Here is an 18,753-nt window from a genome sequence, read left to right as displayed (position 1 = left end):
GTAGGGGACCAGTGTACCATGTAAGAGAGACAAAAATAATTTCTTCCTCCCAGTTATGAGGGTTTGGTTTCTTCAAGAGCAAAAGGCAATGGCTAAGAATATTTGTATGTCTGAACAGATTATTTCTATGAAGCACGTTCTTTTTTTCTGGAAATCAACAACAATAAAACAAAATCTTTTTTCCTATGAGATTTTGAGCCTGCCATCTAAAATCCTTTACATCTCTCACAGTAGAGTTCCAAACCTCAGTAGCTTACTTCAAATTTTCCCAGAGATTTAGAATTGAATTCCTGAAGTAATATCTCATCCTTATTCATCAAAACATATATACCCTGCTATAATAAAAAAAGATCAATATACAGGATTAAAAATGGTTAATTCCTCCTACAATTTTACCATTTCATTGTCCTGTAAGAGTTATTAAAGATGAAGTTTCCTCTAACAAAAACTTCAGATCAAGTTATTGGGAGCCAAAATTTAACCTTTAAGTTTAAACTTTTAGGTTCAACAGGGAGATCATCCAGGTGCCTGGTCTAGTGCTTCTGTACATTCATTTTCTAATTATTATTTTCTCATGTACTCATGACCTAGTCACATACCACTTGATAAATTTTTTAACTCATCACATATTTATCAAATTTCTACCATCTTTCTACAAATTGATAGATAGTTTTGTACAATAGATAGATTTGTAGAATAGTTACTACAAAGTGTTATAACTTCTTAATGGGCAGGTCTCAATATGACACTGAAAATAGATACTGTAGAAAAAAATTCTATGATTTTTTTTGAATCATGCATATTTTGTGAGGCATTTAAATTGATTCTTTTTTAAAAAACGTCAATATCATATGTTTTGTCAGTGGCTGAAGCCTTATTTCAGTCCATGAATTATAGGTTTATAATGGTTATATTACAAAAGGGCTAGTCTCAGGATCTCACCACTATAAGATCCAATTATGCAGATACTACCTCTAAATGTTTTATTCAAAAGCAACTTTGGTTTTAGAACTCACCTAACATGAGATGCAACTTCAAATGCAGAACAATGGTTATATCACAATATTGACAAATGTTACAAAGTTAGAGAGATAATAAAAGTATATTTAGTAAAATGTGAAATAACCTTCACAATAAAATCTGTCTTTTAACACAAATACCCAGTAATGTTGCATTTATCAAGTAAACACGTAAAAAGTATGTCTTACCCAACAAAAAGTTAGTCTTAGATGCAGACCAACCATACTGTTGCTCCACCATTTTAATGATATAAGTAAGAGAAGCAATGTAGCTGCTCATGTGTAACAATGTAAAAATTACAAATATAACATACAGGGGATTGGTAAGGATGCTTTTCAAAGACTGGAAAAAGCCTGCAGAATTATAAAAGTAAACAAAATATTTCAATGTAATTAAAATACATTAATATCTGAATTTTGAAAATATAAGTTTTATAAGATTTAAAATTACAAAACTACATAACACAGAAAGAGCACCCTTCAATCCTACTATTAACAGTTTAACTACATTCCTTCAATATTTTTCATATGCATATTATTATTGGTTTAGTTCATTTTACTTCCAAATAGGATCATGCATAAATGCTGTTTTGTGACTTACTTTGTTCACTTAACATTTTATTATCCTTGGCACTCTACCATACTATTACATACAGATTAATTATTTATTCATTCCACAAATGTTTGGTTTTCAATTGGGTACTAGGCAATACACTAAGCGTCCCAGAAAGAAAAAAAACTGAATCAGAAATGTGATGTTCACAGGGTGCAGTGGCTAATGTCTGTAATCCCTACACTTTGGGTGGCAGAGGCACGCAGATTGCTTGAGCCCAGAAGTTAGAGACCAGACTGGGAAACATGGCAAAATCACCCCTCTACAAAATATACAAAAATTAGACTGGCATGTTGGCATGCTCCCATCACTTCAGCTACTTGGAGGGCTGATGAGGGAGAATAACTTGAGCCTGGGAAATTGAGGCTGCAGCAAGTCATAATACATGCCACTGCGTTTTAGCCTAGGGGACGGAGCCAGACCCTGTCACAGTGAAGAAGAAGAGGAAGAGTAGGAGGAAGAGGAAGAAGGAAAAGGAGAAGGAGAAGAAGCAAGAAGGATAAGGAGGAGGAGGGGAAGAAGAAGAAAAGAAAAGAAATGTGATGTCCCTTATGTATCAGCACTTAATAATATAATTATTACATTAAAATAAAATTGTTAAATATAAATTTAAATTAAAGACAGCATAATCTGAGATACAGAAATAAAATCTCTGATGTTCAAAAATTTTAAAGACAAAATTAGTATGAGGGCTCAGACTTCTTTTTTCCCTGGTATACAGCTTTTGTACCATAAAATACTGCCTCAGTAAATCTGGCAGTATTATAAATCACCTGTGTTAAGACGCAAGAAGGAGAGGCAGGGGATAAAAATGTTGGTCCCAAGGGACATTATGACAGTAATAGTACAACAACCTATGCCTACAAATAGGTGTGATAACAAATTTCTAACTTCTGTCCATGGCAGAAATTTTATATTCTGGGTCTGTGATTGCCAGGTCAATCAACTATAATAGAAGTTAAAAGTGGAAGGAACTACTTAGAACAAAAGGAAGTTTTAGAGTACAGCAAGACAGGCCCGGAAATAGTTATTGAGAGATGGATGATATGGGCTTTGAAAGATCTTGTTCTCTATAGGCCTCTAAAGATTTTCATTAGATATGAACAGTACTAACAGTAGTTTCTTTAAAAAATAGTTTCCTCTGATTATAATAAAACAAAATACATTTTGAGAAATGGCACAGAACAGAAAAGAGGTAAGAAAATGTATAGTAAGAATAAACAATATTTAAAATTGTTAGGCCAAAGTGCTAAACTTCCCTCTATTGGTCTCCCCTGTGAGTAAGAATCACCACTGATTTGTGAGGCCTTCTAAGAGAGTCGTGATCTTTGGTCAAAAGGAATGAAACGTGTAGATTAACCAAACTGTTAAATTTTTGTGGCAGACAGCAATTTGGATGTCATCTGGTCTGAACTTCTATACAATTGTGACGTATTACTTATTTTTAATAAACAGATCAATAAACAACTCAAGTGACATGAAGCTGACTACCTGAGAGCAATTTGCTCAACTTTTGAACAGTTCTCATTGTTTAAAAATTGTCTTTGTAATGAACTGAAATTTTCCTTTCTTTCTAACCAATTAGTCTTAGTTTTCAACAAGAACATAGAGAATAAATCCAATATGTCTTTTCTCCTGACTATAGGTATTTAGGTATGTTATCCATTCTTAACAGGCACTTATTAATAATTAAGATTCTCTTTACTATTCACGTCACTAACCCCCCCGAAAACCAGCTCATAATATAGACAATGTTACTATTGTACCATTTTTGTATCTTCATTATCCTCTTTATTATTTCTGGATTCACAGTCAACTCTGACTCTTATAGGTTTGAAAATCCATTAATTATTATGGATTTGATTAGATAAAGCAGAAACATGGCACACACAAAACAAAAATTCCTTGATATGCTATTTTTAGAATGCTTATTAAAAAACTTTTAAAACAGTGGTGTGCTGGTAAATGTTTAACAACTGATTTGTTGGTTGGGAAACCAGATTTGTAGGATTTCTCAATTTCCATGGTAACGTATGGTGGTAAATTCTCCTACCATGGACAATTTCAAGCTACCAATGCAGTTGAAATTGAACAATCCACTCTCATAAGTGAATACACAAGGCTCCATCATCCATCCCATTGCTCTTGGGTTAGTGTGGTGGAGAGGAGAAAATAATAACAACAACAAATGGGAAGTGAAAGAATTGATGAGGAGAGCATAGGTTACCCTGGGAAATTTGTAACCTTACTTCAATAAAAACTTGAAACATTTGCTGAGTTTAGGTGTTGGTTGCACTACTTCAGGTTTTACGATTTCACCATTTTGTCCCAATCTGAAAACTGCTGTCAATACCTTACCATTTCAAATATTTTGCTCTGACTGCTGTCAGATCATTCTCTCAATTACTGCTTCTCCATGGTTCTCCATTAGCCCTCCAGGGCTTATATTCAAAAGAAGAGTCACTATCAAGTGGTAAAGGATCCTAATTCACATTACTGACTTCAATTACTTTAATAACAGCTATTGTTTCCACTTCATTTTTGAATACTTAGGTAAGCTATAATTATATATATATTAAAATTATATATAATCTAATTAAAATTATATATAATCTTATTAAAATATATATAATTTTAATTACCAAGAAAAATAATCTTACTCCAATTACCTACAGAGAAACCTCTCCTGAATTCCTTCTCCTTATTCTATCTCTACACTTGAGAATAGTTAAGTATAACCTTACCACTATTTAAGATACTTTACTACAATGATCTATATACTTCTCAATATTATCCACTAGGTTTTTGAAAAATAAAAGTGATGTTCTGTCACCAGGGCATAGTGTGGTGGCTGGTACCTTCTGTTGAATAAGTGAATGAATGAAATATTATAATCTTTTTAACCTTCACAGTTTACACTATATAATATTAAAATGAATACATACTCTTTGGCTTATAAGGAACAAATGTTTTATTTGTAGCCTTTGATTGGTTTCTGCCTGCTAAAGAGCAAAATCCTAATCCACTTCTGCTTGTTATGTGCTCAAGAAATATTTGTTAACTTTAGTATGACTTTTAGAAAAATAATTCAGCTACATTTAGTGCAGAAGAAAGCTAACTCTTGATGAGTTGAGTATGGTTTATATTTCGGAATACTCATCACTCCCTTTCATTGAAATTAACAACTCCAAGTTGACAATGAATGTAAAATACTTACCAGTCACATTTTTGGTAATATATTTTCTTCGGTTGGTCAAATTAGCTATTTGATTCCTTTTATCATTAGTTTTTAGCACATGCAAAAATAGTGAAACTTTCCTTTCTTTCTGTGGTTTATTTGGATTTAGAGGCAAGAAAAAGAATGGTATAGAAGAAATAATGGATACTATTCCAGACACAAGGAAACCAAGCCACCAAGCTCCAACCCAACGAGAGTCCTTAGGAGTTATCCTGATAGTGCCTAGAATAAATAAAAGAAGCCAGTCAAAAATCATTTTGAAATACAGTAGGTTCTGGGAAATAATGATAATGATTGCAGTCCTCCACAGATGAATAAAGTAAAATATATGTCATAAATTCTAAGACACTATTTTCTTCTTTTCATATTTTGTTATCTTTGAAACTAGAATCAGTCTAACATTTGATGACATCTTGCAGTTGCTGTAGGCCAGAAATCAGTCATGACGTTGTTCTCATTTCTGGAGCTTGTGTGCACTTGGTGTTTTTTCAGGTTTCATGACAGGACAGCTGTCATCATTGGAGTCTTAACCCCAAGGACCATTTAATAACTACTCATGGAAAAAATATGAATCCTCATTGTTGTCTGAAAATGTGGTGGGCACAAGGGTGCTTGCATCACTGAACCTCAAATTCTAGGTAGCTCAGTACAGAAAGAGAGAGATTCCATTGTTTTGGAGAATGTAGGGCAAAAGAACAAGAGTCTTTGTCTAGTAATCGAGAAAATTCTTCTGGATCTTATCTGAGGCCACCAAGACAGTACCTCTATAACACTGCACAAACCACAATATTAATCATCATGGGGCATAAGTCACTTCAAACAACTAGGAAGCATATTCAAGATTGATGGGTAGAAGCAAACCCAGACTGCAAAAACTACAATAAATATCTAACTCATCAAGGCCCAGACAACAATGAATATTTATTGGCATCAAGGTCAGCCAGAAAAACATGACCTCATCAAATAAATTAAATAAGGCACTAGGAACCAATCCTGGTGAAACAGACATATGTGTTCTTTCAGACAGATTTCAACATAGCTGTTCTGAGGAAACTGAAAGAAATTCAAGATGACACAGAATGAATTCAGAATTCTATCAGATAAATTTAACAAAGAGAATAAAATAATGAATACCAACACTACTCAAACTATTCCAAAAAATAGAGGAAGAGGGAATACTTCGAAATTCATTCTATGAGGCCAGTATCACCCTCATACCATGACCAGACAAACACACATCAAGAAAGGAAAACTACAGGCCAATATCTCTGATGAGTAATTATGCAAAAATCCTCAACAAAATCCTAACAAACCAAATTCAACAATATATTAGAATAATCATTCACCATGATCAAGTGGGATTTATCCCAGGAAGGCAAGGATGGTTCAATATATGGAAATAAATCAACTGAGCACATTGTATCAATGGAATAAAATATAAAAATCATGTGGTCATTTCAATTGATGAAAAAACATTTGATAAAATTTAACATTCCTCCATAATAAAAAAAAAACTTTAAAAAACTGGGGATAGAAGAAACATAGCCCAACATAGACAATGTTACTATTGTACCATTTTTGTATCTTCATTATCCTCTTTATATAAAAGCCATATATGACAGACCTACAGCCATATATGGCTTTAAATAAAAGCCATATATGACAGACCTACAGCTAGTATCATACTGAAAGGCGAAAACTGAAAGCCTTTCCTCTATAATCTGTAATACTACCAGGATGGACATTGTCACCATTTTTATTCAACGTAGTACTGGAAGTCCTAGCTGGAGCAATCAGACAACAAAGATACAAAAGGCATCCAAATTGGAAAGGAAGAAGTCAAATTATAGTTGTTTGTATATGATATGATCTAATATGTAGAAAAACCTAAAGATGCTACAAGAAAGCTACTCAACCTGATAAACAAATTTAGTTAAGTTGCACAGTACAAAAACAACATAGAAACCAGTACCATTTCTATATGCTAACAGTGAACAATTTGAAAAAGAAATAAAAAAGTAATCCCATTTACAATAGCCGCAAATACCTTGGAATTAACAAAAGAAGTGAAAGATCTCTATAGTGAAAATTTTAAAACATTGATGAAAGAAATTGAGGAGGGCAACAAAAATTGAAAAAATATTCTATGTCCATGGATTGGAAGATTAATGTTGTTTCAATGTCCATACTACCCAAAGCAATCTACTGATTCAATGCAATCTCTATCAAAATAACAATAATATTCTTCATAGAAATAGAAAAATCAAACCAGAAGTTCATATGTAACACAACGACACAGAATAGCCAAAGCTATCCTAAGGAAAAAAAAAAAAAAAGCTGGAGGAATCCTATTACCTGACTTCAAATTTTACTACAGAGCCATAGAGACCAAAACAACATGCAGTATGCTACGGGCATAGAAACAGACACATAGACCAATGGAACAAAATAGAGAACCCAGAATCCATACAACTACAGTGAACTCATTTTAGACAAAGGTGCCAAAAGCATGCACTGAGGAAAAGACAGTCTGTTTAATAAATGGTGCTGAGAAAACAGGATATCCATATGCAGAAGAATAAAACCAGGCCCCTGTCTCTCACCGTATGCAAAAATCAAATCAAAAGTGATTAAAGACATACATCTAAGACTTCAAACTATGAAACTACTACAAGAAAATATTGGTGAAAATCATCAGGACATTAGTCTGGGTGAAAAAAAAATATTGAGCAATACCTGACAAACACAAGCAACCAAAGTAAAAATACACAAATGGGATCACATCAAGTTAAAAAGCTTCACACAGCAAAAAATACAATCAGCAAAGTGAGGAGACAACTTATGCAATGGGAGAAAGTATTTCCAAACTCCCCCTCTGACAACAGATTAATAACCTGAATATACAAAGAGCTCAAACAACTCTATAGAAAAAAATCTAATAATCTGATCAAAACAAGGGCAAAACACTTGAATAGACATTTCCCAAAAGGAGACAAATAAATGACAAACATGCAAATGAAAAGGTGCTCAACATTGTTAATCATTAGATAAATGCAATTCAAAACTACAATGAGATATCTGATGAATGATATATCTCACCCCTGTTAAAATGGCTTTTATCCCAAAGACAAGCAATAACAAACACTGGTGAGAACCTTCATACACTGTTGGTGTGAATGTAAACTAGTGCAACCACTACGGATAACAGTTTGGAGTTTCCTCAAAATACTCAAAATTGAGTTACCATATGATTTAACAATCCCACTGCTGGGTATATACCCAAAAGAAACGGAATCAGTCTATTTAAGACATATCTGCACTTCTATGTTTGTTGTAGCACTGTTTACAATAGCTGTGATTGGGAAGGAACCTAAGTGTCCATCAATAGATGAATTCATAAAAAAGATTTGGTACATATGGAATACTATACAGCCATAAAAAAGAATGAGATCCAGTCATTCTCAAAGAATGAGATCCAGATCCAACATGGAGAGAACTGGAGATTATTATGTTAAGTGAAGTAAGCCAGGTACAGAAAGACAAACATCACATGTTCTCACTTATTTGGGGGATCTAAAAATCAAATCAATTGAACTTGTAGGCATAATGAGAAGAAGGACGTTGCCAGAGGCTGGGAAGGGTAGCAGAGGATTGGAGGTGGGAGGTGGGGACAGTTAATGCACACAAAAAAAATAGAAAGAATAAGACCTACTATTTGATAGTGCAATAGGGTGACTATAGTAAACAATAAATTAATCGTATATTTTAAAATACCTTAAAGAATGTAATTAGATTATTTGTATCTCAAAGAATAAATGCTTGAGGGGTTAATACCCCATTATCCATGATGTGTTTATTTCATATTGCATGCCTGTATCAAAACATCTTATGTACCCCATAAATACATACACCTATTATATACTCATAAAAATTAAAAATAAAAAAATCTTAAAAACAAAGAGACTAAAATTATTAAAATCCATGAAGCAGAAATTTAAGAGTTGAAAAATTCAGCTGACATACTAAAGAATGCTTCAGAGTCTCTTACGAGCAGAACTGATCAAGCCAAAGAAAGAATAATGTGCTTGAAGATAGGCTGTTTGAAACTGCACAGTCACAAGAGACAAAAGAATAAAGAACAATGCACACCTAAAAGATACAGAAAATAACCTCAAAAGGGCAAAACTAAGAGTTATTTGCCTTAAAAGGGAGATGGAGAAAGGGTAGAAAGTTTATTCAAAGGGATAATATTACAGAACTTTTCAAACCTAGAGAAAATATCAACATTCAAGTACAAGAATGTTAATGAAAACCAAGAAAATATAACCCAAAGAAGAGTACCTCAAGGCACTTAATAACCCAACACTCAAAGGTGAAGGATAAAGAAAGAAAAAAACTTTTTCCCTAGAATATTATGTCCAGCAAAAATATAATTCAAAGATAAATAAGAAATAAAGACCTTCCCAGATTAAAAAAAAAAAAAAAACTGGGGGATTGTATTTACACCAGGACTGTCCTGTAAGAAATGCTAAGGGGAGTTCTAAAATCTGAAAGAAAATAATGTTACTGAGCAAGAAGAAATCATCCAAAGTTAAAAAAAACTCAGTGTCAATAGTAGGCACACAGAAAAATACCAAATATTATAATACTGTAATTGTGGTGTGCAAACTACTCTTAAGTAGAAAGACTAAATGATGAAATAATAAAAAATAATAACTGCAATAACTTTTTGAGACATACACAGTAAATAAGATAAAAGGGAAAAAATATTTAAACATAAGAAGTTGATGTTGCAGTATAGAGGTTTTATCAGTTTTCTTTTCTTTTTTCTTTTTTTTTTTTTTTGAGACATAGTCTTGCTCTTATCACCAAGGCTAGAGTACAGTGGCACAATCTCAGCTCACTGTAACCTCCACCTTCATGAGATTCTCCTGACTCAGCCTCCCGAGTAGCTGGGACTACAGGCGCCTGCCCCCACACTTGGCTAATTTTGGTAGTTTTAGTAGAGATGAGATTTCACCATGTTGGCAAGGCTGGTCTTGAACTTTTGACCTCTGGTCACCCGCCTGCCTCTGCCTCCCAAAGTGCTAGGATTACAGGCATGAGCCACTGTGCCCAGCCTGTTAGTTTTCTTTTTGCATATTTATTTTTTTATGCAATCATTTTAAGTTGTTACCAGTTTAAAATAGTGGGTTATAAGTAAGTATGTGCAAGCCTCATGGTAATCTCAAGTCAAAATACATATGACAGACCAAAAACTAAAAAATAAAAGGAAGAAATTAAATTATTCCATTAGAGAAAATGACCTTCACTAAAAGACAGACAAGAAGGGAGAAGAGAAGACCCAAAACCACAAGAAAACAAATAACAAGATGGCAGGAGTAAGTCCCTACCTATTAATAACATTGAATGTAAATCAACTACAGTCTCCAATCAAAAGAAATAGAGTGTCTGAATGGGTGATAAAACAAGACCTAATGATCTGTTGCCTACAAGAAACGCAATTCCCCATAAAGATAAACACAGGCTGAAAATGAAGGGACAGCAAAAGATATTATTACATGCCAATGAAACCAAAAGGAGTTACTATACTTACATCAGACAAAATAGATTTCAAGACAAAAACTGAAAGAAGAGACAAATAATGTCATTATGTAATAACAAATGGTTCAATTCGGCAAGGGAATAAAAGGATTGTGAATACATTTGCACCCAACACTGAAGCACCAAGAAATATAAAGCAAATATTATTAGAGTGAAAAAGAGAGACAGACTTCAATACAATAATAGCTGGAAATATCAACAACTCACTTTCAGCATTGAAAAAACCTATTAGACAGAAAATCAAGAAAGAGAAAGACTTAACCTGAGCTATGGAACAAGTGGACCTAATACATATTTACAGAATATTTTATTCAAGGGCTCCAGAATAAACATTTTCTCTCATCAGCATATGAATCATTCTTAAAGACAGATGATATATTAGGTCACAAAAGAAGTCTTAAAACATTAAGAAAAAAAAAAAGAAATCATATCAAGCATCTTCTCTGGCCACAATGGAATAAAACTAGAAATCAATAATAGAGGAATTTTGGAAACTATCCAAACACATGGAAATTAAACAATATGCCCGTGAATGACCAGTGGGTCAATGAACAAATTAGAAAGCAAATTGAAAATTTTCCTGAAATGAATGAAAATGGAAGCACATACCAAAACCTATGAGATAAGATACAGTAAAAGTAGTACCAAGAGGGAAATTCATAGCTTTAAGTGCTCACATCGAAAAGAAGAAAAACTTCAAATAAGTAATCTAATGATACACTTTAAAGAACTAGAGAAACAAGAACAAACTAAACCCAAAATTAGTAGAATAAATAATAAAGATGAAAGAAGAAATAAATAAATCTGAGATAAAACAGTGCAAAAGATGAATAATACAATCTGTTTTTTGAAAACATAAATACAACTGACAGAAATTTATCCAGACTAATGTGAAGAGAAAAGACCCAGATATGTAAAATCAGAGATGAAAAAGAATACATTACGAATGATATTGCTGAAATTTAAAGGTCCACTAGAGGCTACTATGAGCAAACATATGTCAATAAATTGGAAAATCAAGAGGAAATGAATAAATTCCTAAATATATAAAACCTATTAAGATTGAACTGAGATCCAAGACCTGAACAGACCAATAACAAGTAATGAAATTGAAGCTGTAATTAAAAGTCTCCCAGGAAAGAAAAGCCAAGGACCTGCTGGGTTCACTGCTGAAATCTACCAAACATTTAAAGAAGAATTAATATCAATCCTGCTCAAACTATTCTAAAATGTAGATAAGGAGAAAATATTTCTAAACTCATTCTATTAGGTTGGTGCAAAAGTAACTGCAGTATTTGCCATTGGTTTTAATGGCAAAACCAACCTAAGACAAGGTCGGAATTATCCTGCTATGCAAACCAGACAAACATACATCAAAAAAAGAAAACTACAAGCCAGTATCTCTGATGAATATTGATTCAGAAGTCCTCAACGTAGTACTAGCAAACCAAATTAAATAATACATTAAAAAGATCACTCATCATAACCAAGTTGGATTTATCCCAGGGATGTAAGAATGGTTTAACACATGCAAATCAATCATGACACAGATATCAACAGAATGAAGGATAAAATCCATATAATCATTTCGATTAAAGCTAAAAAATCATTTGATAAAATTCAACAATGCTTCATGGTAAAAACCATAAAAAAGCTGGGTATACAAGGAATATACCCAAATGTAATAAAAGCCACTTATAACAGGCCCACAGAGCTAGTAGCATACCGAGTGGGCAAAAACTGAAATCTTTCTTCTAATATCTGGAATATGACCAGGACACCCAGTTTCACCACTGTTATTCAACATAGTAGTGGAAGACCTAGCTAGAGCAATTAGACAAGTGAAAGATATAAAGGGCATCCAAAAGGAAAGGAAGTCAAATTATCCTTGTTTACAGGTGATATAATCACATATTCAGAAAAACCTAAGACCCCACCAAAAAAAAGAAAACTATTAGAACTGTTAAACAAATTTAGTCAAATTGCAGGATACAAAATCAACATATAAAAATTAGTACCATTTCTATATGTCAATAGTGAACAATCTGAATAAAATAATTAAATCCCATTTACAATGGCCACAAAAAAATTAAATGTGTGGAGGTCAACTTAACTAAAGAAGGGAAAGATCTCAATAATGAAAACTTTAAAACACTGAGGATAGAAATTGAAATCAAGACACAAAAATGGAATTATATTCCATGTTCATGGATTGGAAGATTCAATGTGGTTAAAATGTCCATACTACCCAAAACAATCTACAGATTCAATGCAATCTCTATTATAATGCCGATGACATTCTTCACAGAAACAGAAAAAAAAATCTTAAAATTTGCATGGAATCACAAAAGACACAGAATAGGCAAAGCTGTCTTGAGCAGAAAAGAACAAAACTGAAGGAATCACATTATCTCACTTCAAATTATTCTACAGAGCTACACTAACCAAAACAGCATGGTACTGGCCATAAAAACAGATACATAGACCAATGGAAAAGAATAGATAACCCAGAAACAAATCCAGACACATAGAGCAAACTCATTTTTGACAAAGGTGCCAAAGAACACACACTGGGAAAAAGACAGGCTCTTCAATAATGGTGCTAGGAAAACTGCATATCTATATGCGGAAGAATGAAACTAAACCCTATTTCTTGCCATATTAAAAAATCAAATCAAAATGCATTAAAGATGTAAATCTAAGACCTCAAACTGTGAAACTATTACAAGAAAATCTTAAGGACAATCTTCAGAACATTAGGCTGGGCAAAACATTTTTGAGTAATACTTCACAAGCACAGGAAATACAAGCAAAAATGGCCAAATGGGATTCTATCTAGTTAAAAGCATCTGTAAAGCAAAGAAAACTATCAATAAAGTAAAGAGACAACCCACAGAATAAGAAAAAATATTTGTACACTACCCATCTGGCAAAAGATTAATCACCAGAATATATAAGAAGTTCAAACAATGCTATAGGAAAAAATTTAATAATCCATTTAAAAATGGGCCAATTTTTAAATGTTTGAATGGACATTTCTCAAAAGAAGGCATACAAATGGTAAACAAACATACGAAAAGGTACTCAACATCACTGATCATCAGATAAATGAAAATTAAAACTACAGTAAGATATCTCACAGAAGTTAAAATGGCTTATATCCAAAGAAAGGCAATAACAACTGCTGATGAGCATGTGGAAAAAAGGCACACTGTTGGTGGGAATGTAAATTAGTATAACCATGCTGGAGAAGTGTTTGGAGGTTCCTCAAAAAACTAAAAATAAAGCTACCATACAATCCAGCAATTCAGTTGCTTAGAATATACCCCAAAGAAAAGAATCAATATATTGGAGAGATATCTGCACTCCTACATTTGATTTAGCACTATTTACAATACCCAAGATTTGGAAGCAACCTGCGTCTAACACCAGATGAAGTGAAAATATTATACATATACACAATGGAGGGCTATTCAGCCATAAATATGAATGAGATCCAGTCATTTGCAACACAATGGATGGAACTAGAGGTCATTACATTAAGTAAAATACGCCAGGGACAGAAAGTCAAATATCACATTTTCTCACTTATTTGTGGGATCTCAACATCAAAACAATTCAATTCATGGAGATAGAGAGTAGAAGAATGGTTACCACAGGGTGGTAAGTGCAGTAGGGGTTTGGGGGGAAAGTGGGGATGGTTAATGGGTACAAAAATAGTATTTAGAATGGATGAATAAGATTTATTGATGGCACAGCTGGGTGACTACAGTTAACAATAAATTGTACATATTAAAATAACTAAAATAATATAACTGAATTGTTTATGACACAAAGATAAAATGCTTGAGGGGATGGATACCCCATTTTATATGATGTGATTATTACACATTACATGTCTTTATCAAAATATCTCATGTGCCCAAAATATGTACACCTACTATGTACCCATGAAAATTAAGAATTTAAAATTTAAAAAATAAAAACAATACATACCTGTGCAATAAAAAAAAAGAGACATAAAAGCCCCAGACAAACAAAAGTTGAGGGAATACTAAACCCATAAACCTGTGTAAAAATAAATAAATAAAATAAAGGAAAATTTTCTACTTAATACAAAATGATGCCAAATAGCAATATAATGGCATTAAAAGGACAAAAGTCATTGGTAAATGCAAATACATAGACAACTACAGATTAATATATTAGTATATCATTTGTGGGTAAGTTATTTTAATTAAATTATAAAAATTTAAGTGACAAAAGCATTAAAATAAGTATATCTAAAATATATTTATGGATATACAATATAAACAGATGTAAACTGTGACTTCATTAAGATAAAGTGTGAGCAGGCTAATCAATGTAGAATTTTTCTATGTAATGGAAGTTAATTTATTATCAGCTTAAAAGAGACTTTTATATTTTATGTAAGTCCCATGATACCCAGAAAATGTTTATAGAAGTAGCAAAAAAGGAAAAATAAATAAACATATTACAAAAATCAACAAACCATAAAGAAAGACAGCACCACAGGAAAAGAGGGGAAAATCACTGCAAGACATAGAAAAACAGCTTAAAAATAGCAAAGTTAATCCTTCTTTGTCAATAACTACCCTAAATATAAATGGATTAAATCTCCAAACAAAAGATACAGAGTTGCTGATTGGATAAAACTACCTGCTGTCTATAAGAGACTCACTTTAGATCTAATAACACACATAGGCTGAAAATGAAGAGTTGGAAAAAGGTATTCAATACAAATGGTAACCAAAATAAAACAAGGGTAGGTATACATATATTAGACAAAATAAACTTTACATCAAAACTGTCTCAAGAGACAAAAAAATGACATTATAAAATGATTTTTAAAAGTTCATTCACCAACAAGATACAATTATGGATATATTATAGACTCAACCTCAGAGAATATAAATATATGAAGCAAACATAGACAGAACTGAAGGAAAAAATATAGAGGAATAAAATACAGTCATCTCTTGGTACCTGCGAGGGATTGGTTCCAGTACCTTCCATGGATACCAAAACACAAAGACGCTCACGTCCCTTATATAAAATGGTGACATGCAGTGGCCCTCCATAATAGGCTGATTGTAATAGTAGAGGACCTTAATATGTCCACTTTTAGTTATAATAGAACAACCAGAGAGAATATCAATGAGGAAATGGAGAACATTACAGATCAACTGGACCCAATTGTCAGTGAGCACTTTATTCATTAACAGTAGAATATATATTCTTCTCAAACAGAAATGGAACAATTTTTAAGATAGATCACATGTTACAACACACAACAAGTATTAACAAATTTCAGATTAAAATCATACTAATTATCTTTTGCAACCACAATGGAATAAAACTAGAAATCAATAGCAGAAGCAAAACTGGAAAGTTCACATGAATGTGCATATTAAACAACACATCTTTGAAAAATTGATTGTTCAAATCAACCAAAAGTGTATTTAGAAAATATTTTGAGACAAACGAGACTGAAAACAGAGCATTAGAAAACATGAGATGCAACAAGAGTAGCAGTAAGAGGGAAGTTTATAATGATAAATCCTACGTTAATAGGGTGAGTTTTATTCCTGTAGACTATAATCAGAGGTTAACTTCTCGAATTTCTGGTCACTAGAAGCATCTGAGAAATTGTTTATTGTCAATAAACACCAATAAATTTTACATAATTATAGCAGTAAGAAAAGAATGATGTCAAATAAACACAACTTTACACTTCAAGAAAATATAAAAAGCAAACCAAATTGAGCCCAAAGTTAGCAGAAAGAAAAGGTTAGAAAACAAAGTAAAGAATAGAAAAAAATCAACACAACTAAGAGTTGAGATGTTTTTCGAAAAGTGAACAAAATTGATGAACTTTAATCTAGACTAAGAGAGAAGTTTCAACTAAAGTAAGAAAAGAAAGCAGAGAAATTATAACTAACACCACAGAAATAAAGTAATCATAAGAGATTACTATGCACAATTATACATAAAAAATTAAATAACTGGGAAGGAATGAATAAATTCCTAGATACAAAAAAAAAATCCACCGTGACTAATTCATGAAGAAAGTCTGAATAGACCTACTAACAGTAAAAAGATGAAATCACTAATCAACAACCTCTAAACAACAAAGAGCTGAGGATCAGATGGCTTTACTGGTGTTAGAAAACTTTTAAAGAAAAAATTAATGACAATCCTTCTCAACCTCTTGCCAAAAATTGAAGAGGAAGGAACAGCTTCAAACTCATTTTATGAGACCAGCATTACCCTGATATCAAAGCCAGACAAAATCATCAAAAGAAACCTACAAGCCAATATCCCTGATGAATACAGATGCAACGAATCCTCAACAAAATACTACCAAACATAATTTAAGAGCACATTAAAAGGATATTATGCCATAACCAAGTGGGATTTATACCTGAAATGCAAAGTTCAACATACAAAAATCAATCAGTGTAATAAAACACATTAACAAAATAAAAGACAAAATTACACAATCATATCAGTAAAATTCAAAAAAGCACTTGATAAAATTCAACACTCTCATGACAAAAACTTCCAACAAGCTACAAATAAAGGGAAATTTGCTCAACATAATCATGGCCATACATGAGAAACCCATAGCGAACATCAAATTCAAGAGTGAAAAAAGGAAAGCTTTTAGGAAAAGGGAAAGGATGACTATTCTCACCAATTATATTCAATATAGCCCTGGAATTGTATGCCAGAGCTATTAGTCAAGAAAAAAAAATAATAAAATGCATCAAACTAGAAAGGAAGAAGTAAAATTATCTCCATTTGCAGATGATATGACCTTATACATAGAAAACCCTAGACTTCACACACACACACACACACACACACACACACGCACACACACATACACATCTGTTAAATTAAATGAACAAGTTCTGGAAAGTTGCAGGATAAAAAATTCATAAGAAATGTTTGCCTTTCTATTCACTAACAAATAACTATCTGAAAAGGCAATTGGGAAAACAATCCCATTCACAATTAAATAAAAAGAAATAAAACATGATAAATTTAAGCAGGTGAAAGACTTGTACACTGAATACTTCAAAACACTGATGAAACAAATCGAAAAAGCCACAAACAGTTAGAAAGATATATCCTGTGTCCATGGATTAATGAATCTAATAATGTTAAATGTCCATACTACCTAAATACATCTACAGATTCAATGCAATACCTATCAAAATCCCAATGACACTTTTACAAAAATATAAAAAATAATCCTAAAGTTCATATAAACCAAAAAATGACATCAAATAGCCAAGCAACCTTGAGAAGGAAGAAAGCTGATAGCTCACACTTCCTGATTATAAATATTTTCCAAAGCTAAAGTAATTAATACACTATGGTACTGGCACAAAGCTGGATATAGAAACCAGTAGAATAGAAGAGAGAGCTCACATAAATATATACAGTCATCTGATCTTTGTCAAGGGGCTACAATGGTGAAATGATTGTTTCTCCAACAAATGGTGTTGAGAAAATTGGATATTTACATGAATTTATAGTATTATCTTACATATAACAAAAAAATTAACTCAGACTGTTTTGAAGACCAAAATTTAAAACCAGAAACTTTAAAACTCCTAGAATAAAATCTAGGGAAAGTGCTTCATTAAATTGGTCATGACAATAATTTCATGGATATAACACCAAAAGCACAGGCAACAGAGGCAAAATTAAACTAATGGAACTCCATCAAACTAAAAAGCTTCTGCCCAGCAAAAGAAACAATCAATAGAGTGAAAAGGCATACAGAATACATGAAAATTTATTTGTAAAGCATTTATGTGATAAGGGGTTAATTTCTAAAAGATACAAGACATGCTTATAACTCCATAGCAAAAAAATTAAAATAATCTGCTTTAAGAATAGGCTAAAGACCTGAATAGAAATTTCTCCCAAGAAGACACAGAAATAACAACAGGTATATGAAAAGATGTTCAACATCACTTATTATCATGGTAATGAAAATCAAAAACACAATTAAATATCCCCATACACCCGTTAGGATAGGTGTTATCAAAAAAAAGAATAAGAAAAATGTTGGCATGGATGTGGAAATATCTGAACACTTACAAACTGTTAGTAGAATGCAAAATGATGCACCTAGTATAAAAAACAGTATGAAGATTCCTGAAAAAATTAAATATAGAACTACCACATGATGCAGCAACCTCACTTCTGGGTGTAGAATTAATTCAAAAGAATCAAAATCA

The 18,753-nt window shown here is 32.4% G+C and overlaps 2 protein-coding genes across 2 annotated transcripts in view; both read right to left on the bottom strand.

Annotated features, from left to right (window-relative positions):
• SLCO1B3-SLCO1B7 (SLCO1B3-SLCO1B7 readthrough) overlaps positions 1 to 18,753 on the bottom strand; it is a 275,549-nt gene that overhangs the window by 42,797 nt on the left and 213,999 nt on the right. The gene's annotated exons all lie outside the window — the stretch shown is intronic.
• LOC124902894 (putative solute carrier organic anion transporter family member 1B7) overlaps positions 1 to 18,753 on the bottom strand; it is a 150,851-nt gene that overhangs the window by 3,830 nt on the left and 128,268 nt on the right. Inside the window, exons 7-8 of the mRNA XM_047429949.1 lie at positions 4,850 to 5,092; positions 1,209 to 1,373 (exon numbers count right to left, since the gene is read on the bottom strand). Of these exons, the coding sequence (XP_047285905.1) occupies positions 1,209 to 1,373; positions 4,850 to 5,092 (408 nt within the window). The remainder of the gene's footprint in view (positions 1 to 1,208; positions 1,374 to 4,849; positions 5,093 to 18,753) is intronic.

Source organism: Homo sapiens, chromosome 12 (assembly GCF_000001405.40).
Source record: "Homo sapiens chromosome 12, GRCh38.p14 Primary Assembly".
Classification (NCBI taxonomy): Eukaryota; Metazoa; Chordata; class Mammalia; order Primates; family Hominidae; genus Homo; species Homo sapiens.
Note: the sequence above shows the minus strand (reverse complement) of the source record. Positions and strands in the feature narration are given on the sequence as shown.